The sequence below is a fragment of the Homo sapiens genome, chromosome 9 (genome assembly GCF_000001405.40).
Source record: "Homo sapiens chromosome 9, GRCh38.p14 Primary Assembly".
NCBI lineage: Eukaryota > Metazoa > Chordata > Mammalia > Primates > Hominidae > Homo > Homo sapiens.
In genome coordinates, this window is record NC_000009.12 from 4,320,766 (window position 1) to 4,345,791 (window position 25,026).

General features: G+C 42.1%; 1 protein-coding gene across 1 annotated transcript in view, besides 2 other annotated features; it reads right to left on the reverse strand.

Annotated features, from left to right (window-relative positions):
- Positions 1 to 25,026, reverse strand: part of GLIS3 (GLIS family zinc finger 3) — a 666,339-nt gene that overhangs the window by 496,639 nt on the left and 144,674 nt on the right. The gene's annotated exons all lie outside the window — the stretch shown is intronic.
- Positions 8,270 to 9,469: an enhancer, noted in NCBI's record as "CDK7 strongly-dependent group 2 enhancer chr9:4329035-4330234 (GRCh37/hg19 assembly coordinates)". NCBI's record gives its function as "activates an origin of replication core promoter dependent on BRD2, BRD4, P300/CBP, MED14 and CDK7 cofactors, with strong dependence on CDK7, by STARR-seq in HCT116 cells {active_cell/tissue: HCT116}" and the evidence as "EXISTENCE:reporter gene assay evidence [ECO:0000049][PMID:35650434]".
- Positions 18,624 to 18,918: an enhancer, noted in NCBI's record as "tiled region #3538; HepG2 Activating DNase matched - State 12:CtcfO, and K562 Activating non-DNase unmatched - State 13:Ctcf". NCBI's record gives its function as "activates a minimal TATA promoter and a strong SV40 promoter by Sharpr-MPRA in HepG2 and K562 cells {active_cell/tissue: HepG2 | K562}" and the evidence as "EXISTENCE:reporter gene assay evidence [ECO:0000049][PMID:27701403]".

Below are 25,026 nucleotides of genomic sequence, written 5' to 3' on the forward strand. Positions count from 1 at the left end.
TTCAGCACCATCACCACACTATTCCAAGCACCCAACATTGTATTATGTCTTAAGAAGGCTTCCTAAGCGGTCCATCCATATTCATTCTGGTCTCTCTTCAATCTGATCATTACACTGAAGGCAGGTAAGTTTTTTCAAAATGCAAGTTTTGAAAGTCTGTCTCCTGCTTGAGCATTTTTCAATGGCTCCCACAGCTCTCGAGATACAAAGAACGTTGCTTGAGAAGGCTGTAAGTCTCTGCTTGGTCTAGACCCCAGCCATTTCTGCAGCCTTATTTCATACCTTTCCCTCCTCTGCTCTTCTATTCCAGTCATCCTGCTAATTTTTAAGTCCCCAATACTCAGCATGGTCTCCGCTTTTTTTAAAATCTCAAGGCCGGGCGCGGTGGCTCACGCCTGTAATCCCAGCACTTTGGGAGGCCGAGGCGGGCGGATCACAAGGTCAGGAGATCGAGACCATCCTGGCTAACACGGTGAAACCCCGTCTCTACTAAAAATACAAAAAAAATTAGCCGGGAGTGGTGGCGGGCGCCTGTAGTCCCAGCTACTCGGGAGGCTGAGGCAGGAGAATGGCGTGAACCCAGGAGGCGGAGCTTGCAGGGAGCCGAGATGGCGCCACTGCACTCCAGCCTGGGCCACAGAGCTAGACTCCGTCTCAAAAAAAAAAAAAAAAAAAAAAAAAAAAAAAAAAAAAAAAAATCAGGTGCCTAGAACTGGATTAATCATAATCCTTGGTATATGTTATGCTATTAAATTACCCAGTGCATGGTCTTCTCTATTTACGTAATTAAAATAAGAAAATGAACATTTCAGAACTCCCCACCCACCCACCCCAGTATCGAGAGCATTACCAATAACTTACATGTCTCTTTGTGAACCTCCCATTTCTTCTCTGCTATCCCTCCTCCAAAGGTAACTACCATCTCTGCATTTTGTGTTTATTTTTATTGGCAGTTTTGTTTTGTTTTAGACAGAGTCTCACTGTCCAGGCTGGAGTGCAGTGGCATGATCTCATCTTACCACAGCCTCCACCTCCCGGATTCAAGTGATTCTCATGCCTCACCCTCCCGAGTAGCTGGGATTATAGGTGTACACTACCACACCCGATAATTGTTTTCATTTTTATTATTATGCTTTAATTTCTGGGGTACACGTGCATAACCTGCAGGTTTGTTACATATGTATACAAGTGCAGTGTTGGTGAGCTGCACCCATTAACTAGTCATTCACATTAGGTATTTCTCCTAATGCTATCCCTCCCCCATCCCCCGAGCCCACGACAGGCCCTGGTGTGTGATGTTCCCCGCCCTGTGTCCAAGTGTTCTCATTGTTCAGTTCCCACCTATGAGTGAGAACATGCGGTGTTTGGTTTTCCATCCTTGTGATAGTTTGCTCAGAATGATGGTTTCCAGCTTCATCCATGTCCCTACAAAGGACATGAACTCATCCTTTTTTATAGCTGCATAGTATTCCATGGTGTATATGTGCCACATTTTCTTAATCCAGTCTATCACTGATGGACATTTGGGTTGGTTCGAAGTCTGTGCTGTTGTGAATAGTGCCACAATAAACATATGTGTGCATGTGTCTTTATAGGAACATGATTTATAATCCTTTGGGTATATACTCAAAGGATTGGGTATATTACTCAAAGTAATGGGATTGCTGGGTCAAATGGTATTTCTAGTTCTAGATCCTTGAGGAATCGCCACACTGTCTTCCACAATGGTTCAACTAGTTTACACTCCCACCAATAGTGTAAAAGTCTTCCTATTTCTCCACTTTTGTTGTTGCCTCTCCAGAATCTGTTGTTGCCTGACTTTTTAATGATTGCCATTCTAACAGGTGTGAGATGGTGTCTCACTGTGTTTTTGATTTGCATTTCTCTGATGACCAGTGATGATGAGCATTTTTTCATGTGTCTGTTGGCTGCATAAAAGTCTTCTTTTGAAAAGTGTCTGCTCTTATACTTTGCCCACTTTTTGATGGGGTTGTTTGATTTTTTCTTGTAAATTTGTTTAAGTTCTTTGTAGATTTTGAATATTAGCCCTGTGTCAGATGGGTAGATTGCAAAAATTTTCTCCCATTCTGTAGGTTGCCTGTTCACTCTGATGGTAGTTTCTTTTGCTGTGCAGAAGCTCTTTAGTTTAATGAGATCCCATTTGTCCATTTTGGCTTTTGTTGCCATTGCTTTTGGTGTTTTAGTCATGAAGTCCTTGCCCATGCCTATGTCCTGAATGGTATTGCCTAGGTTTTCTTCTCTAAAGTCTTTATGATTTTAGGTCTAACATTTAAGTCTTTAACGGATCTTGAATTAATTTTTGTATAAGGTGTAAGGAAGGGATCCAGTTTCAGCCTTCTACATATGGCTAGCCAGTTTTCCCAGCACCATTTATTAAATAGGGAATCCTTTCCCCATTGCTTGTTTTTCTCAGGTTTGTCAAAGATCAGATAGTTGTAGATGTGTGATATCAAACTATACTACAAACTATACTCCTGACCTCAGGTGATTTGCCTGCCTTGGCCTCCCAAAGTGCTGTTTTATCACATATATTTATATATGTAAACAACATATTGTTCCCTTTTCCTTGCTTTTAAATTTCATAAGAAGAGTGTTATGCTGTGTATAGTCTCTAGAACTTGCTTTTTTCCACCCAATGTTATGTTGTCTGTATTCGTCCATGTAGCTGTGTGTAGCAGGGATTCATTCATTTATATTACTGTGTAATATTCCATTATGTGAATGCCTTCCTGCCTGCAATGCTTTCTGTCTTCTTCACCTATTTAACTCCTACTTACCTCTCAGATCTCAGCTCAGGCATCATTTCCTCAGGAGATATTTTCTGACCTTCATAACTAGGTCAGACCCCCTTATTTATTATAGACCTTCAAAGCATCATGTATGTCTCCTCTGTGGTCATTACCACCATAGCAGCCTCACATCTGCATGATTGGGATCTGTCTTCTCCACTTGACTGGAAGCTCCTTAAAGGCAGAACCATGTCTATGTTTGATTGCTATTAAATCCTCAGCCTAAAGCACATCATAGGGGCGCAGCAGAAGTTGCTGTTTGAATGAATCATGAAAAGAAGCATTTATCTCTACTATTCAGTACATCTAACTAAACATATTAAGAAATAAGTAACTGAAACCACTTTCTCTGCATGACTTTGTTATATTTTTAGCACCATCGTCATTCTTTCATTTACTCAGTTTCAAAAATTTTGATATTAGGTCTGTTTCTGGTCTTTTTGGGACCCTTCACATCTGTTCATTTACTCACCTTCGTTAACTCTTCTTTGAAAATGGTGCTTGTCTCAATATGCCATCTCAACCCTATGTAACTCCTGCACACATAACTCATATTTAGAAAAGCTGCACTCTGTGTTCCCTAAACTGTGCATAATAATTTCCCATCACTTTATCTTTATTTATGCTGTGCCCTCTTCTGAAAATGGGCTACATAAAACTTGGTGTTTTTATTTTAAAGATCACTTCATAGTGAGGCTGAGAGCTTAGGATGCTGACTTTTCCTATAGGCAGAGGATGTGGAGTTGTGACCCTTGCCACTTATTTTCAATGTCATCTTAGATAAGTTACTTAACTTCTTTCAACCTCAGTATTTTCATCAGTAAAATGGTATTAATAATAACATCTGCCCTAGACACCTCACGGGATTGTTTTGAGAACCATATGAGATAAAACAGGTGAAAAGTTCTTTGTCAACTATAAGAGACAATACACATTAGTTACATTATGGTAGTTATTATTATGATTCGTATTCTTCCTTGATGATTTCAAACTCTTTCTCTTCCTTTTGCACATAAGTTTGGCAGCAGATTTAGATTCTGAAATATCTTCTCAAAAAGAGACTGAGGTCAATCTGAACACATAGTCCAGGATTCAAATAAATCACTAAGAAAAATGCAAGGAAGCGGGAAGCCTGCCAATGACTCAGCAAGCACCATTTTCTGTAAATCACTTGATTTGCTTTGTACCATTTTCTGTAAGTCATTTCATTTGTTTTGGCTCTGAGTGACTTGTTTCAAGTTTCCAAAAATAAAATAAAATAATCACTTCAATCATCAATTTCTCTTACCTTGCTTTAAAACCTAAAAGTTATACCCCTACAACCTTAGGTAGTATCTTTACGTGCTAAATAGCAGTTAACATTTACTGAGAACTTACTGTGTGCTAGGTAATATGTCAAATAGTTCCATTTAATCCTCAACAACGGCCTGGTGCTGTAGGTACTATTTTTGTCCACAGTTAATTGCTGAGACCACAGAATCACTCAGAAATTAAATAATTTGTCCAGGCCACACAGCTGGTAAGTCCTCAAACTGGGACCTGAACCCAACTGGTATGTCTATAAAGCCCATAGCTACACCACCCTCTCTATACTTGAATGCATAAATGTGAGTTTTCCAAGCTGCAAATACAATCACATTTTTTCTCCTGTATGTTTTACATTTGAGGCTAGCACAGGACCTATTCTGGGGCTGTTTATGTCTTCTTGATGAGTGACAAGTTCCCCTTGAAACCACTTAAAAAGGGTAGAGTACCCCTTAATGTGGTGACTAGAACCCTGAAAATGTGCTAGGGCATAATGTTTGGACAAACATGAAAGAAAGAAAGGTTTAAGGAACAACATACAGTTCATCTTTAAATCAGCATTTGTGACAGACTTTCAGAGCCCACTGAAATTTTTCACTAAGCCCACTTCCCTCAAAACCATCCCTACTTCACCTTCCAGTTGCTCTCGATTCTCCTATGATTCTTTCCTTTCCTGCAAAATATCCACATTTCTACTAATAACCTCCAGGATGCCTTTTCTACTTTCTTTTAACCTTCATTAGCACTGGAACCAGACAAGATACACTTAGGATTCACTTCCACCTAGAGTTTGAGCCAAAATCAACTCTCTTTTTTTTGAGATAAATATGTTTGTTTTTATTTTTTTCATCTATCAAAGTAATCTTGTTCATGATGTGAAGCTTGAGAAATAAAGGATAAAAAGATACATGAAATCAACCTAGATGCCCATCAATGATAGACTGGATAAAGAAAATGTGGTACATATACACCATGTAATATTATGCAGCCATGAAAAGGAATGAGATCATGTCCTTTGCTGGGACATGGATCGAGCTGGAAGCCATTATCCTCAGCAAACTAACACAAGAACAGAGAAACAAACACCACCTGTTCTCACTTATAAGTGGGAGCTGAATGATGATGAGAACACAAGTACACACTGTGGGGAACAACACACACTGGGGCCTGTCGGGGGTGGCAGGGAGGTAGAGCCTCAGGAAGAACAGCTAATGGACGCTGGGCTTACTTCCTAGGTGATGGGTTGATCTGTGCATCGAACCACCGTGGCACACATTTACCTATGTAACAAACCTGCACATCCTGCACGTGTACCCGGGAACTTAAAATAAAAGTTGAAGAAAAAATAGTCTGTTGAAGAAAAATATATACACCAATGTTCACAGCAGCATCATTCACAACAGTGAAAAAGGTAGAAACAATCTAAATGTCCATCAGTGGATAAATGGATAAACAAAATGTGGTATATACATACAATGGAATATTATTCAGCCTTCAAAAGCAAGGAAATGCGGACACATGCTACAACATGGACACATCTCGAAAACATTATGCTAAGTGAAATAGTCACAAAAAAATACTGTGAGATTCCACTTACATGAAGTATTTACAGTAGTAAAATTCATAGAGACAGAAAGTGGAGTAGTGTTTACCAGGGGGAGGGAGGAATGGGGGTTATTTTTTATAGGTACAGAGTTCCAGTTTAGGATGATGAAAAATGCTGGAGAGCGGATGGTGGTAATGACGGCACAACAACGTGAATGTTCTTAACGTCATGAAACTACACACCAAAAAGTAGTTTGAATAGTAAATTTTATGTTTTATATATTTTATCACAATAAAAATGGAACCTACAGCAACAGCAAGGACAAAAAAAATGAGAGAGAATTGGAAACATAGGCTGGAAGTGCCTGCGAAGGAGAAAGGTAGGTTTGGGGCTGGGTTTGGAAGAACAAGTACATAAGGACTGGCATAAGCGTGGAGCATCTTGGCTGTGGGTGCATGTCCTCTCATGCCAGCAAGGTTTTTCCTTCTCACCACCAAAGGATAAAGTTATTCCTTTAACAACAACACATACTTATTGAGTTGCCTGTGCTGACACTAGGGGTACAGCATAGAGCAAGATACACAGCTTAGAGTCAGGTGGGGTAGACAGACATGAAACAAGTAATCTCATAAATGGAGGTTACAATGTGATCTGTGTTAAGGAGGTCAGATGAAAAAGTGGGACAGGAGCTGAGAGAAAGATTGATTGAGAGTTAATGATGCAGTTGGTGTAGAGGTGAGAAGGGAGAGTGTCCAGTGTCCCAGGCAGAGTGAACAGCAGGTTTCAAGGACCTGAACAAAAAGGCCAGAGCAGTGAGACTGAGAGAGCAGAGGGAGGTGGGCATGGCCAGAGGACAGATGTCAGGGTGTAGGGCCATGTTGTATTCAGAGCAAAGAGGAGTCATTAGAGTAGGGGAAGAGGGAGGAGAGGAGGATGTGATATTGTGATCCAGTTTGAGCTTTGGAAAGAGGTGTCAAGAGAAATGTGGGAGATCAGTTAGGAGGGTCCTGCAGTAGTCCAGGTGAAGGAGGGTGGAGGGTGCACTAGGGAAGTCCTGGAGCAGAGGAGACCAGACAGATTCAAGTGGGATTTAGGGAGTAAAAGGTGAGGATGAATTGAAATGAATTGGGTAGGAAGCATGAGAGAGGAGGAGGAGTCACCAACAATTCTGAGCTCTCTGCTTTGTGAAGCTGGCCGGAAAGGACCTTCAGACCCACTGAATAAAGGCCAGTCAGTGCCACCACATCACACAACTCCAGGGGGCGCCATCCACTTTGCAGTTAATGGGGCTTGAGCCCCTGGAATTTTGCACAAGCAACAGCCTGTGTGGCATGAGCAGTAGCACAGTAGGCAAGAAGTGTCTCCCTGGACCTGGGCCTAACTTCCTCCTAAATGTCACTCCTCGAGGTGCATCTGAAGGTTGCGATCAGTGACCGGTGTAGCAGAAGCCCAGTGGAATCAAGTTTCTCAGTTGAGCTGTCCAAGTTAATTCTGCTGAAATTGCATCAAGAGCCTGGGCCTTCAGAAGGCTCTCGGGAAAAAGGAAAGTAGGAAGGCAAAAGCCTCCACATGCACGTGACTCATGTCGAATGCATGTTCCTGTGTTGTTCACTCTCCCACTCCTCACTGTTATTAGGGCTGGCAGAGCCCAGCACATATGGTCTTCTGGTCACGTGGCCCACTGATGGAAAAGCCCTGGATGCTGCTACCCCGGGGATCCAGTGCCAGTAAGTCATGTCCTGTTAGAATCTGCCCCAAGACCCGAGACTGACTAACCCTTTGCAGCTTCAGAGGGCAGGAACAAGAGAACCATCTCCATGCCTCCTTTAGGGATTTCAAGGTAGCTTGGATCATGCTGTGGCCCCTGAAGAAGAGCTTGGTCACAGCTCCCCCTGAAGTTCCAGTTGAACAAAACCAGAACCCACTCAACCCACTAACCAGCAGCAGATAGAGGTGTTCATGGCTCAGAGAGTCAGGAAAACAGGGAGCACTAAGTGGAATCCATGGATGCTCAACACCCCATTCTGCTCCCACCTTTTCACCAGTGTGTACAGGTAAAATGTGGCTCTGCCCTAAACCATAATCCCCTGACAGATCAGCCCCTCCATAAAGGGGAAATCTAGAGGGGCCAAGCCCAGAATCCCAAGAAAGATAAAGCTCCTGACTTCTGAACCAAATCATGATTATGTATGTTAAGAAGCAAGGAAGTCGTCCTGAAGCCAGAGAGCCTGGGCTGGAATCTTGCTCTGCCTCTCTATAGCTTGTGACCTTGGGTGAATTTCTTAGGCTTTCTGTGCCTCAGTTTTTCCCTGCGTAAAACAGGTATGGACATAATCTCTCTGCCATACCAGGTGTTGCGAGGACTGAAAGCATTATGGCACATGCAGCATTTAGATCAGTGCCCGGCACGTGACAAGCATCCAATAAATGTTCACTGTTATTACTATTAGAAGAGGAGTGTGACTCAGCTCCCAGGCCTAAGATGGCAGGCTGACAGAGTGCAGTTCCCTAATAGTTTCTCATAAGCTCCAGCAACCACAGCTCTTGAGGTGAGTGTAGGTGCACCAACAGCATTTGTTACAAAAGGCTTAGGATGATGAGTAAGAGTCTCTCAAATCTTGCCTGCTTGCCAGGCTATCGTTTTAACACTTAGAGAAATAGCCTAGACCTTTTTCAATCCACCAATATACTGCCGACTTGGGCAGCTGTGTGAGATCGAAGAATTTTCTACCTCTGTGGCCCTTCATTTCCTTGAACCAAAAGCTCTCTGAAGCCCATTCCCACGATAATGTTCTGAGTCCACGACCCCCAGGCCTGCATGTTGACCAGCTAGGGGAAACCTCGCATGTGTGTGTGCAGTGCCATTTTTTCCCATTCATATCCTCACACTTTTCTCTGTTAGCTTGTTTCCGATAATTAATGTTTTCATTTTGACGTCAGAGTAATTCTCCAAATTTACAAATATTGACAACTGAAAAAAAAGATACCTCCAAATGATAAAATGCCCCCCAGTGGTATTTCAAATGCCTTTCATTTGTCCTGGAACTAGGTGGTATCTGGGGGCCTATAATAAGACCACCATAACCCCACCTACCTCACCCTCACCAGAGAAGTCAATAGGCTAGAAAGCATTTAATAAGAATGTGCTACACACTGTGCCAAGTACAGCACAACCCCACCCTCTATCTCTACAGGGTTCTATAGCAAAGGATCACAGCATTCCAGGATGAGAGAGAAATTTAAAATTCATCTAGTCTGCCCACCCACCTGATATGCGAACCTCCTCCAGCATATCCGTGCCAGTAGCATCTACCCAGTGTTTAAATACCTCTAGCAATGGGGAACTCACAATCTTTACAACGTATTAATACTGTCATTTCTTCAAGTGATGAGGCCTACTTCTGGTGCTGGTAATGCAATGATGAATTCGACTGAAACAGTTCCTGCCCTTGGAAAGCATCTAGTCTAGATGGGGACACAGATGAATAAATGAATGCAGCATGATATTATATTTATTTTAGTGTATCAATTAATTTCAATTAATCTTTGTGTTTTTCTTCTCTATATTTCCTTGAACAGAGCCCTTGCCAAGTCAGCTGGAGGTTTTCACATACCCTTAATGAAAATTAACACTTTCCATCAGGAATGCAAATACACAGAAATGACCAAAACTTACTTTTAGGAAATTCAGTGTAGACTCCCAAAACCCACATCAGAAATAATGGTTTTGAAAGCCAAATCATTTCTGATTTGTGATGTCTGGATTTTGCCAGTAGAAGGAAAGGAAAGAAGCAGGGCTCCCAAGACAGCAAGGTGTAGACAAATTGTTCCCATACTTTGGTGCACATTCAAATCACCTGGAAGGCCTGTTAAAACACAGATTGCTGGTACCCATCCAGAGTCTCTGATTCAATAGGTCTGGCACAGGCCCTGCGAGTTGGCACTGCTAAAACCTTTCCAGGTATTGCTGATGCTATTGGTCCAAGGATCACACTTTGAAAACCACTGGTGTAGTGTTTAGGCTTTGATAGTTAATTAAAAAGCGAAAGACCCAGTCAGTCAAAGATCCCAGAGAAATTAAACAACCTCCACTTAGGTGGAGGGAGATGAAGGGAGGTGGAGATGAAGGTTGAGATGGAGATGAAGAGAGGTGGAGGTGAAGGTTGGATGGAGATGAGGAGAGGTGGAGGTGAAGGTTGGATGGAGATGAGGAGAGGTGGAGGTGAAGGTTGAGATGGAGATGAAGAGAGGTGGAGATGAAGGTTGAGATGGAGATGAAGAGAGGTAGAGATTAAGTCGGAGGCAATACCTGGGAGGGAGTGGGAGCCCACTGAGAAGAGGGACTGGACTCAGGAGATAACTTAGAAAAAATGCAATCGATGCTGAGAGACTTTTCAGAATCATCCACCACCAGCACCAGGCGAGCCAGGAGTGGGTTAAGCTGATTCCTGCAGATCACCTTTGCCATTAGAGCAAGCACTGTTTGTCACTGTGCTGAAGGATCACATTAGCTGTGCTTCACTTTGCTGTGTGGTTAGGACCCTTTACTGGCAGCTACATGCATGTCACCATAAGACTGTCCGGGAGCAAACAGGCCCATCTTGCCCTGAGCCATCTGTATTTGTTTCCTAAGGCTGCATAACAAATTAGCATAAACTGCATGATTTAAAACAACAGAAATGTATTCTGTTACAGTTCTAGAAGCTGTAAGTCTCAAGTTGTCAGCAGGCCCACACTCCCCCTGAAAGCTCTAGAGATGAATCCTTTGTTCTTCCAGCTTCTAAAGGTCACAGGCACTCCTTGGCTTGTGGCAGCATAATTCTCATCTCTGCTTCCATCTTCACAGGGCCTTCTTTTGTGCGTGTGTGTCTCTGAGTCCTCTCCTTGTCTCGTGACATCAATCATTGGTTTTAGGGCACACTTTTATCCACTACAACCTCATCTTAACTAATTCCATCTAGACCCTATTCCAAATAAGGTCACATCCAAGGTTCTGGGTACACATGAATTTCGGGGGGACACTATTCAACCCACTGTACCACCCAAGCTACCATCACTCAACTTCCCTTTCTCTCCCATTTCAACAGCTCATGACACTGATTGGTCCGTTGAAGCAGAAGTTGCAGTTCTTGACAACCAGATAAATAATGAAGCTGCAGGGAAATCTATGGAGCCTGTACTTGAGCGACAGCGGTCAGTGGTAAATTCACCCAATTACACAATGATGATAGAGTATGATGGGTTATGACGAAGAAATATGATGAAGGCAGGCACTGGTCACAGACTTGAGTGTGAGCCAAAGTTTCCCAAAGTTCAGAATGTCTAAGGTGAGACCTGAAGGATGAGCAGGAAATAACCAGATGAACATCTGGGTGGGAAGAGAGACATTGGGAGTGGTTCAGACAGAGAGAACACATGAACAAAGGCCCAGAAACAAGAGAAAATATGATTTATTACAGGAACAAAAAGAAATTCAAAATGCCCAGGTTGTCAACTGGTACAAGGGGTGGAATGGAAAGATACCAGGGAGACTAAAGCATGAGCCCTTCCTAGCTCTTCTTCAACTTGGGAGTCCTTATGTACTTAAAGACAGAAACCTGTTATCCCTAAATCTTCTCTCTTTTAGGTTAAAAATGCTTAATTCCTCCAAGGATTTCTCATATCCTTTGGATTCCCATCCCATCACTAACTATTCTGGTTGAAGTTCTGCAAATCCATTCCAGCTTATCTAAATTTCTTGAAGTGGAAATCCCAAAATAGAAGAAAATACCCCAATCCAACACTATAGGATCAACACACTGACCCTAATAGTCAACATTCACTGATAGCGCCTTTCCTTCCCAGGTCCAGGTGTAGAATTGGGCTAGGTTTTGGAGGCAGGGACTGTTAACTGGCCCTCATTACCCACTATCACCTTCTTCCTCTCAGTGACAGAAGCACCCAAGCTTTAGCTGAGCACACGGCTGCTCAACTGGAGACTAACATCCCTGCCTTCCTTATAGCTGAGTATGGCCACGTGACTAAGTTCCAGTACACAGAATCTTTTTCACAAAACCACTTACTTTTGTCTTCCTCTCTCCCGTCTTGCTGGCTGAAACAGTGACAGCTGTAGTAGCCTTGCACCCAGATGGAAGCTCCACATTGAAGACAGCAGAGCAGACCAGCCCACCTGGGGCTCTGGATGCCTTCTTAGGGCAGACAACAGTATACTCACTCTAAACTACCAACCTACCTCTGGACTATTAGATGACATAGAAAGTTCTCTAATCTTTGAGCTATTGTAGCTAATAGGCGGGAGTCAGCCTCATGTGCTCTCTATTGATACAGATTAAATTTGATACAAATGTACATAGGTGTTCCTCTACACATCTATTCAGTAAATATGTCAAAACGTCTACTGGGTACTAGATACTACATATTCTGAACCTTATACATGATAGTATCAATATTTCTGGGATGGGTGGTATTATTGTTCTTTGTTTACAGTCTTTATTATTGTGACTAACAGGACTGACATTAATCTTGATTCAATGTTAACGTTTTCAGCTCCCTAATTTTTATAGCATTGAGTGCTTACTCTGACAGCTGCTTTATCTAAGTCATCTCCTTCAATCTTCAGAACAACCTTATGAGACAGGTATTATCACTCCAGTTTCACAAATTAAGAAGCTAAACCTTAGCCAGGTGCTGCACTCTTATAGTCCTAGCTACTCAGAAGGCTGAAGCAGGAGGATTGCTTGAGACCAGGAGTTTGAGTCCAGCCTGGGCAACACAGTGAGACAAGAATGAAAAGGGAAGGGAAGGAAAAGTGGAGGGGAAGGAAAGGAAAGAAAAATGGGAAGGGGAAGGGGAATGGTAGGGGCAGGGGAAGGGAAAAAGGAAGAGGAAAGCAAGGGGAAGGGAAGGAAAGGAAAGAAAAAAGGGAAGGAAGGAAGGAAAAAGGGAAGAAAGGAAGGGAGAGAGGGAAAGAAAGAAAGAAACTAAGTCTTTTTTAAAAATTGACTTTAATTTGCTTAAGAACAAGCAAATAATCTAATCTTAAAACAGAAGGAGAGATTTCTAGTCTTCTGAGTGGTTAAGAGTGACAGAACAAGATCTTGCTCAATGACCTTTCAACATTGCTCTGGGCTAGTTTCCCAAATTTGATACATGAAACAATAGTTCAGAAAAGTGACCTATTCAATTTGTTTTAACCCAATGTTTCCCTAACATACTTGGCTATGAGACCCTTTTGTCAAATAATGCTATTAGCTTCCAATGGGATTTTTGTGAAGGGTGGCTCTAGACGTAATTGTGAAGCAATGTGATGCCCCCCCCCACCCCCCGCAACTTCATCTGTTTTGATTCCCCTCACTTCCAGCTGTTACACCTGATTGGAAATATCCTCCCAAGAGAAATTATATTATCATAAAGCTCCAAACAACACTTTACAAAAAGGTGCGATTTCAGGCAACGCCAGGGAAAACCACTTTGCATTGGGAATTTCTTGGATTCCTTAAATCCTACCTGGAATGGTGCCACCTTGTCTGCTCTGATGACCTCTGCAGGAGAGGAAAGGACTAGGGTTCCTGTTAGGAGCTTAAGTGCTTAGAAACAAAAGTGACCTCTTCATGAGGCAGACAATACTCTAGTCTCATAATTCAGAGGGCTTGAATTTGAGTATCAAGACAAACAGTTACAGCAAGTTCTGACTGAGCAGTGAGATCTCATAAAAATTCACCCAAATTTAGGTAATAGGAATTGATTCTACTACAGGTAAAGAAACTGAGTAAAGGGGACAGTGAAAGACCATCTGATAGTGTAAATTCCAGGCAGGTTCTAAATCTGTTTCCCAAGGAGCTTTCTGGATATAACATTCAGTCCTTCTACAAATTACAGAGAGATCACAGAACCTCTCAAAACAAGCAACAATTAAAACGTGGCAGCTACAGAGTATGTGGGTAGACAGAAAAGGTTGGCTGTCAAGGAGCTGGTGGCTGGAGAGGCAAGGAAGCTGGTCAGTGCCCTCTGTCCCCTCCACCCTTCCTGAAACAATTGTAGTGCAAATGCATGTTCATTAATCAGCAAGTCCAAGCTAGGGCAGACTTTTCTGGCTCTGTTTGCAGTGCCAGGGCTCTTGCTCCAGCGTTGTCATGGGGAAGTTATTGTTGTCCTCCTGGCAACAGGTTACCTAGGTGAACGCCAAACAGCCCAACCTGGCCTAGTGAGCACTGGGCCTGTTCAGCCACTGTCCCCATGCTGCTTTGCCTGTCTTCTCCTTATACTCCCTCAATCCACACTACTGCCCTTATGAGTCACAGCATTCATTCTCACACACAAAGGTGCTACAGAAGGCCACTTACAGCGAACCTGGGGCTTGTCCAAGGCCATTTTGTACTCTGACCTTTAAAAGCATGCCCAGCCATGGGCAGTCATGCCTGCTCTCTTCAACCCACAACTACAATAAGAGCAGCTCTCAGAAGAGAAATCATTTCCACCTTTTTTTTTTTTTTTTTTTTTTGAAACGGAGTCTTGCTCTGTCACCCAGGCTGGAGTGCAGTGGTGTGATCTCGGCTCACCGCAAGCTCCACCTCCCGGGTTCATGCCATTCTCCTGCCTCAGCCTCCCGAGTAGCTGGGACTACAGGCGCCCGCCACTATACCTGGCTAATTTTTTGTGTTTTTAGTGGAGACGAGGTTTCACCATGTTAGCCAGGATGGTCTTGATCTCCTGACCTCGTGATCCACCCGCCTTGGCATCCCAAAGTGCTGGGATTACAGGCATGAGCCACCGTACCTGGCCCCATTTCCACTCATTTTTACTGAGCATCTTAGTGCCATAATTGAAACAAATTAGAAGCATAAGAAATAACTCCAGTGACGATCAAAGTCTATACCACAAAGTGAAATGAAGCCCTAAGCCAATTAACCTGTGAAATTGATCAATTAATTGTAGACAGCTAAACCAAATGGTTCAGTTAAAGTAAATCCTCAGTTGCTCGTAAACTTGCCAGATATAGCAAATAAAAAGATCTGGTAATGCTACTCCATAAAGGGCTTCTGCTCTAATCATCTGAATTATCACTTCTGCTCCACGTGCTTTCCTGTGCAAAGCCTTCAAGTGTGAAAAACAGGCAGAATTCAGTGGTTCTGGTGTCTATCTCCCTCACCAGCCCTGGGGATGGCGTTAACCTAGCTTACACCTGGCATCTCACCTGTAGTACCCTAAGTAGCCCGGGGTTAAACAAGGGCACTTTCAACACGGCTTAGGGTTTTAGTTTAAACCTGAAACATCAGGATCTATTTAGACCTCTCTTAGAGGCATCCATCCCTTTCAAGAAGCCTCAGAACACACTTGGCATCCCCTGGGTCCCTTGCCCTACTCTGAATTGCCCCAGGGTCCTTCCCCCATTGAACCAGATTTAACAGGATAAGGTGATTCTTCCCTCATTCCAGCCTTGGTGTTTGTATCCAGTTCCAAGAAATTCAGTTAGTTAATACAGAGCTATGACAACCTAAGGTAAAAATTTGCGGACTTCGGTAAATTTACTTGGTGACAGGTGATGAAGAAGAAAGGGCAGGGAGCAAGCAGTTAGAAAACCTGAGTTTGGAGATGATGTGCTGTGAGATCTTGAGTAAGTCATTACACCTCTGTGGGCCTCCATTTCCCAATCTGTTTGTTACCCATAAGCCACATGGCATGATATTAAAGTAGGGTCACAATAGCAGTAGAAAGCAATAGTTCTCTGGCTCTAGCCCACTGCCAACTCTTCTCCCTGACCTAATCTTGGGAGTCTCCAAAAAGCATCTCATGTGGATTCAAAATCAGTCCTCTCCATGGCCACATGTGATATATGGGTTTCCTCTTCTTTAGCTCTGAATACTTTCAGAGATCTCTATGGCTAAGCTATCTATCCACTAAGCCCCTGGTGCTGCTGTAACTAGCATTAAAGTTGCTCCACAGGGCCAAAGCCACCAGGCCAGGCCAGGTCACCAATACTCTGGGTGGCAGTTCTGGGTCAGGGACCTGGATCCCTTAGGATCATTGCTACAGTTTCTGGTGCCAGACCCTGAGGGCACTGATACATGTGTCGGGGTGTTGATATCACCCTTTCTCTTGGCATCCTCACATGAGCCCTGAAACTGAATATATAGTTTCCGTTTTATGGAAAAGGAAAGTAAGACTCAGGAAGATAAAACAACAAAACCAAGACTGCAAAACCAGTAAGCGACAGAACTAGGGTTTAGACCCAGATCCACCTAACTCCAAACCTTGCCATTCCTCAAAACTATCACTTATGGGAAACGTGCGATGTTCACTGCTCCAGAGCTCATGTCCCAAGTCCTATACAATTTGTATATTCCTTTAGTTGGCAAGTTTTTATGATAGTAGAGAGATGTTCATACTAATTACACTACAGATCTGCTAAAAAGATCTATGAAAAGAGGTCTACAAAGTTATCTGTCAATTCTACATGAATACTCATATATTCTGATAAGGAAGACACTAACTCACTAAATTCCAAGAGAAAAATAGATCAAGTAAATGGACAATTTCCAGAGGACAGAATATAAATGACTAATAAATATTTAAAAATCTAATATTACTAGTAAATGTTTTTAAATGCACTAAAATGAGATACTACTTTTAACCTATCAAATTAGGAAAAGAAAATACTCAGAGTTGGTAGTGTCATTGGCTTCTAGTGCACAAACAAATTGGTACAACTTTTCCCGAAAGTAATTTGGCAACACATAGAATCATTAAAAGTGCAAATCATTTAACCCCAAAACTCTCATTCTGGGACACAGTCCTGAGGAAATAATCAGAAGCTCAGAAAAATACTTTATCTACAAAGACCTTCACCAAAGTGTTAATTATTGTAACAAAGCTGGAAATAACATAAATGTCTAACAATCAGAAAATAGTTAATTAAATACAGCCATATGATTAGATAGTATGCAGCTATTAAAGTGATATGGTCAAAAAATTAATGACATAGGAAATGTTCATTTGAAAATAAAGATACAAAATCGTACGGACAGTATTTTCATACTTTTGATTTAAACGAATGAAGGCAATATTTTGCAATGATTCTGAACATTTCTATGTACTCTACAATGATGTATATTTCCTTTATAATCAAAAAAATATATCTAACAAACAAAAAGCTTCAGGCTCCTTCCGGTCATTTTTTCTGACATGCTGAGTTGGACAAGGGCCTCAAGCATCACTGAAGTAAAAGAACATGGAGGATCCCTTTGGGCCAATATCTGACTCATTCTACCATATCACAAGGCCAGACAAAAGCTGATTAATGTTCATAATAATGATCACAATAGTAGCATAATAGTAGAGGTGGTAGCAACCAGTTTTGTTTACTCAGTACCAGGCTCCACTATCCATCTTTCAGATATGTTGTATCATTTAATCCTCACAAAACTCTATGAGGCAACTATTACCCCCATTTGAAAGATGAAGAAACTGGGGTTCAAAGAGATGAAAATATTTGCCCCAAACCACACAGCTTATGTGACCAAGCAGGAGCTAGGACCCAGATCTGATTTCCCAGGATGGTTTGCTCTTTCTCTAATGTCTAACTGGTAAGATTGGCAAGGCTGTGTGTGTGTGTGTGTGTGTGTGTGTGTGTGTGTGTGTTTAGTTTTGAAATGCAAAAACTGTATTTGTCCATAGCATGACTTCTTTTCACAGGAGTCAGGACACCTGATTCTAATCCTATCGCTTCTCCTGACTAGACAAGTTTCCTTGAACAAGGCATATCCCATTGAGATTTTGCTGCTGCTATGTGTTGGCAGTGTTGGACTAGATGAGTTTCCTTTAAGCTTAGCTTGTTAAAACACAGCTTTCAGGTCTTTCTGTAGACCTACTGAATGAGACTTTCTGGTAACAAAATTATACGTATATATAGAGAGATAGATGGATTTCTATTATATATGTGTGTACACACACACACACACACACATACACACACACACACACACACAATTTTTTAAACAAGCTCCCTGGATTATTCTTATTCAGGATGAGAATTCAGCTCAGGACTGGTATTTGGGAGTCACCATACTAGACAACCTATGAGGTACTGTTCATATCTACTAGTCAATGACTGTATAGGGCCCCAAACTTGAAGTCAAGATGTGGCTACCACTGAATTTCAAATAGGTCTGGAAGAATCTAAAGGGCATGTGACTTGTTCACAGGCATTGTTCTGCATGAAGTTTGGGGACAGACCCAGGGAGAAAAAGGAACTGGGGGAAAATAGTGTAAGTACTGGAGATTGGTTCCTGTAGCCAGCCCCATGGGAGAAGGAGCTGCAAGTAGAAAGTAGAGGAACCAAAAATATAGCCTCATATTGTATCACCTAAGGAGCCTGGAAAAAGCACTGTTGCTTGGGTCCCAGCTCCAGAGATCCTTATTTAATTGGTTTGGGGTATGTGCCTGAGTCTTGGGATTTTTTTTAAAGCTCCCCAAGTGATTCCATTTTGAAGCTAAGATTGAGATTCTGCATTAACACACAAGGACACAAAGCCTTCAAAATGAGACGGCTTTATGTGTTACAGGCTTACCCTTAAAACTATGTTGAAAAGCGGCATTTCAAGGACCCTCCTGGTGAGTTCATGAAGCAAAATAATCATGTTCAAAACAATTGAGACTGTCCATACAACACTACCTCGATATGTTTGGGAGGATAAACTCAACACCTCAGTCATGATTTAGTGGCTTGGCTTATATATTTGGTGGCATAGATAGAATTCTGTCCCCAGGTGTGTAAGTCACATGAAGCCAGTCCTCAATGACTGGATTTGTCTTCTTCACTGAAGTGAATTGATCTGTTGTTTTGTCACTATGTAGCTAAAGCCAGTGGGAGGGTGCCAGTTATTTGGAGAAAATGTTTCATTTTGAAGTACCAAAGACAGCCGATGAATTGTGTTCATGAAATACATGCTTCACTCTACTTTTTAATTTGCTCCTGTTTAAGTTAACTGAGAGTTTCGTCTTTATTTTTAAAGAATGACATTTATATAGACGTTCAAACTGCCAATCTGTTACATAAACAGCCTTGTTTTTTGAAGGGCTGGCGCCGCCTAGAGGCCAAATAGGTGCAGAGGTTTGGATTGCTAACCGGAAAGAACCTCTCCAACCTGTTGCTTCTGGTCCTTCTGTGATCCGTCTCTGTTGTGTGTATTTAGGGTCAGGTAAAGCTAATCAGACTTTTCATTGAGCAAAGTTTCCCAAGCAAGGGTGGAGATGCCACAGTGACATTTCAAAGCCAGATAACAATGCAATGATGGGATTTGGGAAGTTTGGTACAAAAGAAGCTTCTCACTGGGATCAAAACGTGCCCAGAGAACCAGAAACTGTAGGGGGAGGGAAGGGGGAGGGGAGGGGAGGGGGAGGGGGGAGGGGGAGGGGAGGGGAGGGGGTAGGGGAGGGGTGGGGGAGGGGAGGGGGAGGGAAAGGAAAGGAAAGGAAAAGAAAAGAGACAGAAAGGTAAAGCAAGTTTTTGGTGGGTAGTTTCCTAGAGTGAACTTAAGAGCAAACATTCTCTCATTTGGTATTGACCAAGACACAAAGACTAGGGAGAAGTCAACATTTAATACCAGCTGACAAGCGGCTTTGCTTCTTGCTCATCAGTGAATTCACCATGTCCTCACGGCTTGGCTTAGCATGAGGTTGATATTCCCCTAGAATCTCTGGATCTATTCCCTTTTTCTACAGCCTTCTCCATACTTTTAATATTTTCTTTCTTACATGGCCAACTTTTAATTACCACAGGGGAACAGAGTTAGTATGTATTTTTTAAATCTCTGAATAATCCAAAACGTCTGTACCCAGATAGAAGTTTAGGAATTACAAATCAAATGAGAAAAAAAAAAAAAAGTATGTCATTTTCCTTTATTTGCCATGACTGATGTCATCTGACTTTTGAGCTGAATAGAAGTGAGGGGGTGGGGGAAAACTTCAACTTCCCAATTAAAAGGCAACTCAATTCCAGGATGAAACATTCTTTTATTTTGTCTTACCCAGTGTCTTTGGGGCAAATTCCTCATCTTTCAGGATGCATCCTCCATCCCTGTTCTCCTTGCCCGGATGGTTCCTGGGTCTAGGGTTAAGCTTCTGTGTATTTGTGGTGGCAGGACAGCAGGAATGAGGGAGTGAGGGTGATGGTCCATGTGCTCATCTCCACATCCACGCTATTAACCACCATGGACACTTGAACCTGGAGACCGTTGTCGGAACCAGATCCCACCTGATTCTTGTTTTTGTTTAATTTTTTTGGAGACAGAGTCTCGCTCTGTCACCCATCACCCAGGCTGGAGTTCAGTGGCACTATCTCAACTCACTGAACCTCCGCCTCCTGGGTTCAAGCAATTGTCCCTGCCTCAGCCACCCAAGTAGCTAGGATTATAGGTGTGGGTGACCCCTCCTGGCTAATTTTTGTATTATTAGTATAGATGGGGTTTCGCCATGTTGGCCAGGCTGGTCTCAAACACCTGCCTCGGCCTCCCAAAGTGCTGGGATTATAGGTGTGAGCCACCGTGCCTGGCCTCACCTGATATTTTAGCAACTCTGCAAACACCCACAACTGGCATCTGACATCCTTGAATAGCCTCTGGACTGCAAGTCTTTCTTCCCTCTAATCCAAATGATCTGTTATCTCTTCTGGTCCAATGGTATGCTTAGAACTTATGTGTTTCCTTTTTGGGGACAGACTTTCCTAGTTGCATTATCTGATCCACAGGCTTGTGCAATACTCTCTAGGACAAAACAAGACTGCTCTCTATCCATCTACTTCCACTTCTTCTTCAGCCATTTCCAACCTATCTGGCATCACTGGAGCTTAAAGCTCTCCTGGCTTGCACTCACACGAGTGAAAGATAAGCTCTATTACCCTGGGATTACACACTTGTAGTTATCAGGCAACATCTGACCCTGTTCAAATCAACTCTCCTTCTTCTCCAGGCTGATGTGCACACAGCTCATTGTGTGCTGGAGAAAAACTCACCATTGTGAAGACTTGTCTCATTTCACATTCAAGGTCACTGATCTCCAGTAGATCCTTAATGCTGCCCTATATCATTTTTTCTCCCACTCTCCTCCATGACTTATTTCCCTCATTCTCTTCTGTCCTCAGACCCCTAGCACTTCCTCACCTATACTCACTTCCATCCAATGCATCCAATCCAAGCTCATCCCATTTATTGATAATTTGAAAACCAATAGAAAAAGACCACAGTCTTACAACCAGTGCCTCTGGCCAGCTCTGATAACTGTGCCCAGGTACTCTGCCTTCCCTCCTATGAACAAGCAATCAGTTCTAAGGAAAATTCCTCCACTTCAGCATTAGATCCCATGGCCAACAAATGGGATCTCCGCTTTTTTTTCTGTCATCACCTTTTTCCCACGTTACTGATTAAATCTCATAACAGTTAAGCATACTACATGCTTGTTGACCACGTATATGTCTTCTTTTGAGAAGTATCTGTTCATGTCCTTTGCCCATCTTTTAATGGGGATGTATGTTTTTGCTTGTTAATTTGCTTAAGTTCCTTGTGGATTCTGGATATTAGACCTTTGTTGGATGCATACTTTGCAAATATTTTCTCCCATTCTGTAGTTTGTCTGTTTAATCTGTGGATAGTTTCTTTTGCTGTGCAGAGGCTCTTTAGTTTAATTAGGTCCCATTTGTCAATTTTTATTATTGCTTTTGGCACTTTTGTCATGAAATCTTTTGTCAAGGCCTATGTCCAGAATGGCATTTCCTAGGTTATCTTTCAGGGTTTTTATAGTTTTGGGTTTTACATTTAGGTCTTTAACCCATCTTGAGTTAATTTTTGTGTATGATGAAAGGAAGGGATCCAGGTTCAATCTTCTGCACGCGGCTAGCCAGTTATCCCAGCACCATTTATGGCCTGGTGCTTTCATCGCTTTCCCCATTGCCTGTTCTTGTTGATTTTGTCAAAGGTTGGGTGATTGTAGGTGTGTGGCTTTATTTCTGGGTTCTCTATTCTGTTCCATTGGTCTATGTGTCTGTGTACCACTACCATGCTATTTGGGTTACTGCGGTCTTGTAGTATAAAGTTGGGTAACGTGATCTCTCCAGTGCTTAGAATTCTAACTTTTTGCTTAGAATTGCTGTGGCTATTTCAGCTGTTTTTTTGGTTCCATATGAATACTATAATAGTTCTTTTCTAATTCTGTGAAGAATGTCATTGGTGGTTTAATAGGAATAGCATTAAATCTGTAAATTGCTTTGGGCAGTATGGCCATTTTAACAATATTGATTCTTCCAATCCATGAGCATGGCATGTTTTTGCATTTGTTTGTGTCATCTCTGATTTCAGCAGTGTTTTGTAATTCTCACTGTAGAGATCTTTTACCTCCCTGATTAGCTGTATTCATAGGTATTTTATTTTGTGTGTGTGGCTATTGTGAATGGGATTGTGTTCTTGATTTGGCTCTCAGCTTGGGCATTTTTGATTATAGAAATGCTACTGATTTTTGTACACTGGTTTTGTATCCTCAAACTTTGCTGAAGTTGTTTATCAGATCTAGGAGCTTTTGGGCATATGAAAAAATGTTTAACATTGATAATCATTAGAGAAAAGCAAATCAAAACCACAGTGAGGCCCAGGCATGGTGGCTCATGCCTACAATCCCAGCACTGTGGGAGGCCAAGGCAGGAGGATCACTTGAGCCCATGAATTTGAGACCAGCCTGGGCAACATAGCAAGACCTCATCTCTTCAAAAAAAAATTAAAAAATTAGTCAGGCACGGTGGCACACCCCTGTGGTCCCAGCTACTTGAAAGGCTGAGGTGGGAAGATTGCTTGAGCCCAGGAGTTCGAGGCTTCAGTAAGCTCTGATTGTGCCACTGCACTCCAGCATGGGCAACAGAGCTAGCACCTGTCTCAACAAAACAAAACAAAACAATGAGATACTATCTCACACCAGTCAGAATGGCTATTATAAAAGGTAAAAAAATAACATGCTGCGAGAGTTGTGGAGAAAAAGGAATGCTTATACACTGCTGGCAGAAATGTAAACTAGTTCAGCTACAGTGGAAAGCAGTTTGGCGATTACTCAAAGAACCTAAAACTGAACTACCATTCAACCCAGCAATCCCATTACTTGGTATATGCCTAAAGGAATATAAATCATTCTACCATAAAGACACATGCACATGTATGCTTATCACAGCACTAGTCACAATAATAAAGACATGGAATCAACCTAAATGCCCACCAACGGTGGACCGGATAAAGAAAATGCGGTACATACACACCACGGAATACTATGCAGCCATAAAAAAACAATGAGATCTTGTCCTTTGCAGCAACATGGATGCAGCTGGAGGTCATTATCCTAAGTGAATTAACTCAAGAACAGAAAACCAAATACCACATGTTCTCACTTACAAGTGGGAGCTAAACATTGAGTACACATGGACTCAAAGAAGGAAACAATACACACAAGGGGCCTACCTGAGAGTGGAGGGTGGGAGGAGGGTGAGGACTGAAAATCTACCTATTAGGTACTGTGCTTATTACCTGCATAACAAAATAAACTGTACACAAAACTCCAGCAACGTACAATTGACTCATATAACAAACCTGCACATGTACTCCCTAAACCTAAAACTCAGAAAGAAATATTATAATAATAAACACACAGAATTCCATTTCCTACCTTAACATACCTCCTCTTCCATCCCTTTCCATCTACCAGCCCACTTCTCTGGTCCCCTTTACAGCAAGTCTCCCGATAAAATTCATATTCACCATTTTTATTTGCCCCAGGGTTTCCTCTCTTCCCTCCCACCCCCACTACCATTTCATTGAAACAGCTCTCTTCAAGGCCACTAATGACCTCCGTATTGGTAAAGCCAGCAGTCAATTCTCAGTCCTCATCCTATTTCACCTGCATTTGGCATTTGGCAATTCATCAGCAGCATTTGGCAAAGTTGTGTTTTCTCCTTGAAATATTCTCTACTTGGCCTCCTGGAAATCCTGGTTTTCTTCTGACTTCGTTATCACGTCTTCTCTGCCTCCTCCTCTCACCTCTAAGTGTAAAGTAACCCAGAGCTCAGTCTTTAGGCCTGTTTTCTTCTCTTTCACACTCGCTCACTCCCTGGGTGTTCTCATCCAGTCTTCTGGCTTTAAATATCATCTATGCTAATAACTCCCAAATTTCATTTTCAGTCTAAACTTTCCAGTGAATTTTAGAATTAAATATCTAACTGTCTAGTTCACTGTTTCACTTGGATGACCAAGAGGCATCCCAGAAACATGACATATCCACAGCTGAATTTTCTCCTCCTAAAATAGGTCCCTTACCACAATCTTCCCCACTGCAGGAAGTAGCACTTCTATCCTTTCATTTCCTAAGGCCAAAATTCCTTGTCTGCTCTCTTCCTTTCAGATTGCCAAGGCTCACCCATCAGCGAATCTTACTGGCTCTACCTTCAAAATATATCCAGATTTCACACTTCTCACCATCTTCACCACTGCACTCCATTCCAAGTTGTACTTATCTCTCATGTGAATTATGGCATTAGTTACCTGGCTGGTCTCCAGCTTCCACACCTTATGTCCCTCTTCAGTCTATTGTTAGTACAACCACGAAAATGATTCCTTTAAACTTAAATCAGATCACTCCTCTATTCAAGTCTCCGCAAGTTTCCCCCTCAGAGCAAAAGCCTGAGTGCTTACAAGATCCTACACAATCTGACTCATCCTTTCCTGCCACTGGGCCCCTGCGTTACCTCTGTGACCTCGTTTCCTACCTTTGCCCTTCCTTCATTCTGCTCTTCTCAGAACACACTTAGCCAGTTTTCTCACCTACGTCAGGCATTTTTGCTCAAATGCCACCTTCTCAGTCAGGCCTTCTATAATGACCCCACTTAATCCCTCCTCCCTATCCTATCTACTTTATTTTGTTTATTTTCTTCATAGCATTTTCTTTTTTATGACAATTGACATATATTTTCCATATCTGTTTATTGTCTGGCTCTCCCATTAGAATGCAAGTTCATGAGGTCATTTTTACTAGAATGGTAGGTGCTCAATAAGTATTTTTAAATGTATCATAATTTAGAATACTTATCAAACCCCCAACTGGGATTTTGGCCTGCAGAGGAAGAAACAGGTTCCATGTATCTTACCAGTTGCTCTTGTTCCTCTTTCCCCCATCCTTAAAAACTTTAAATGTAGCAGATTGGATACAGAAATTTATCTTCTTTTCCCTCCAAACTCATTTTCCAGAGTAGAATGTTAATAGGTAACATTTAAAATTTAAAAGCCAAAGTTACATGGAATTTTGAAATATGTAGGTAACCACAAGAAGATAAAGCAAAAAGAGCTG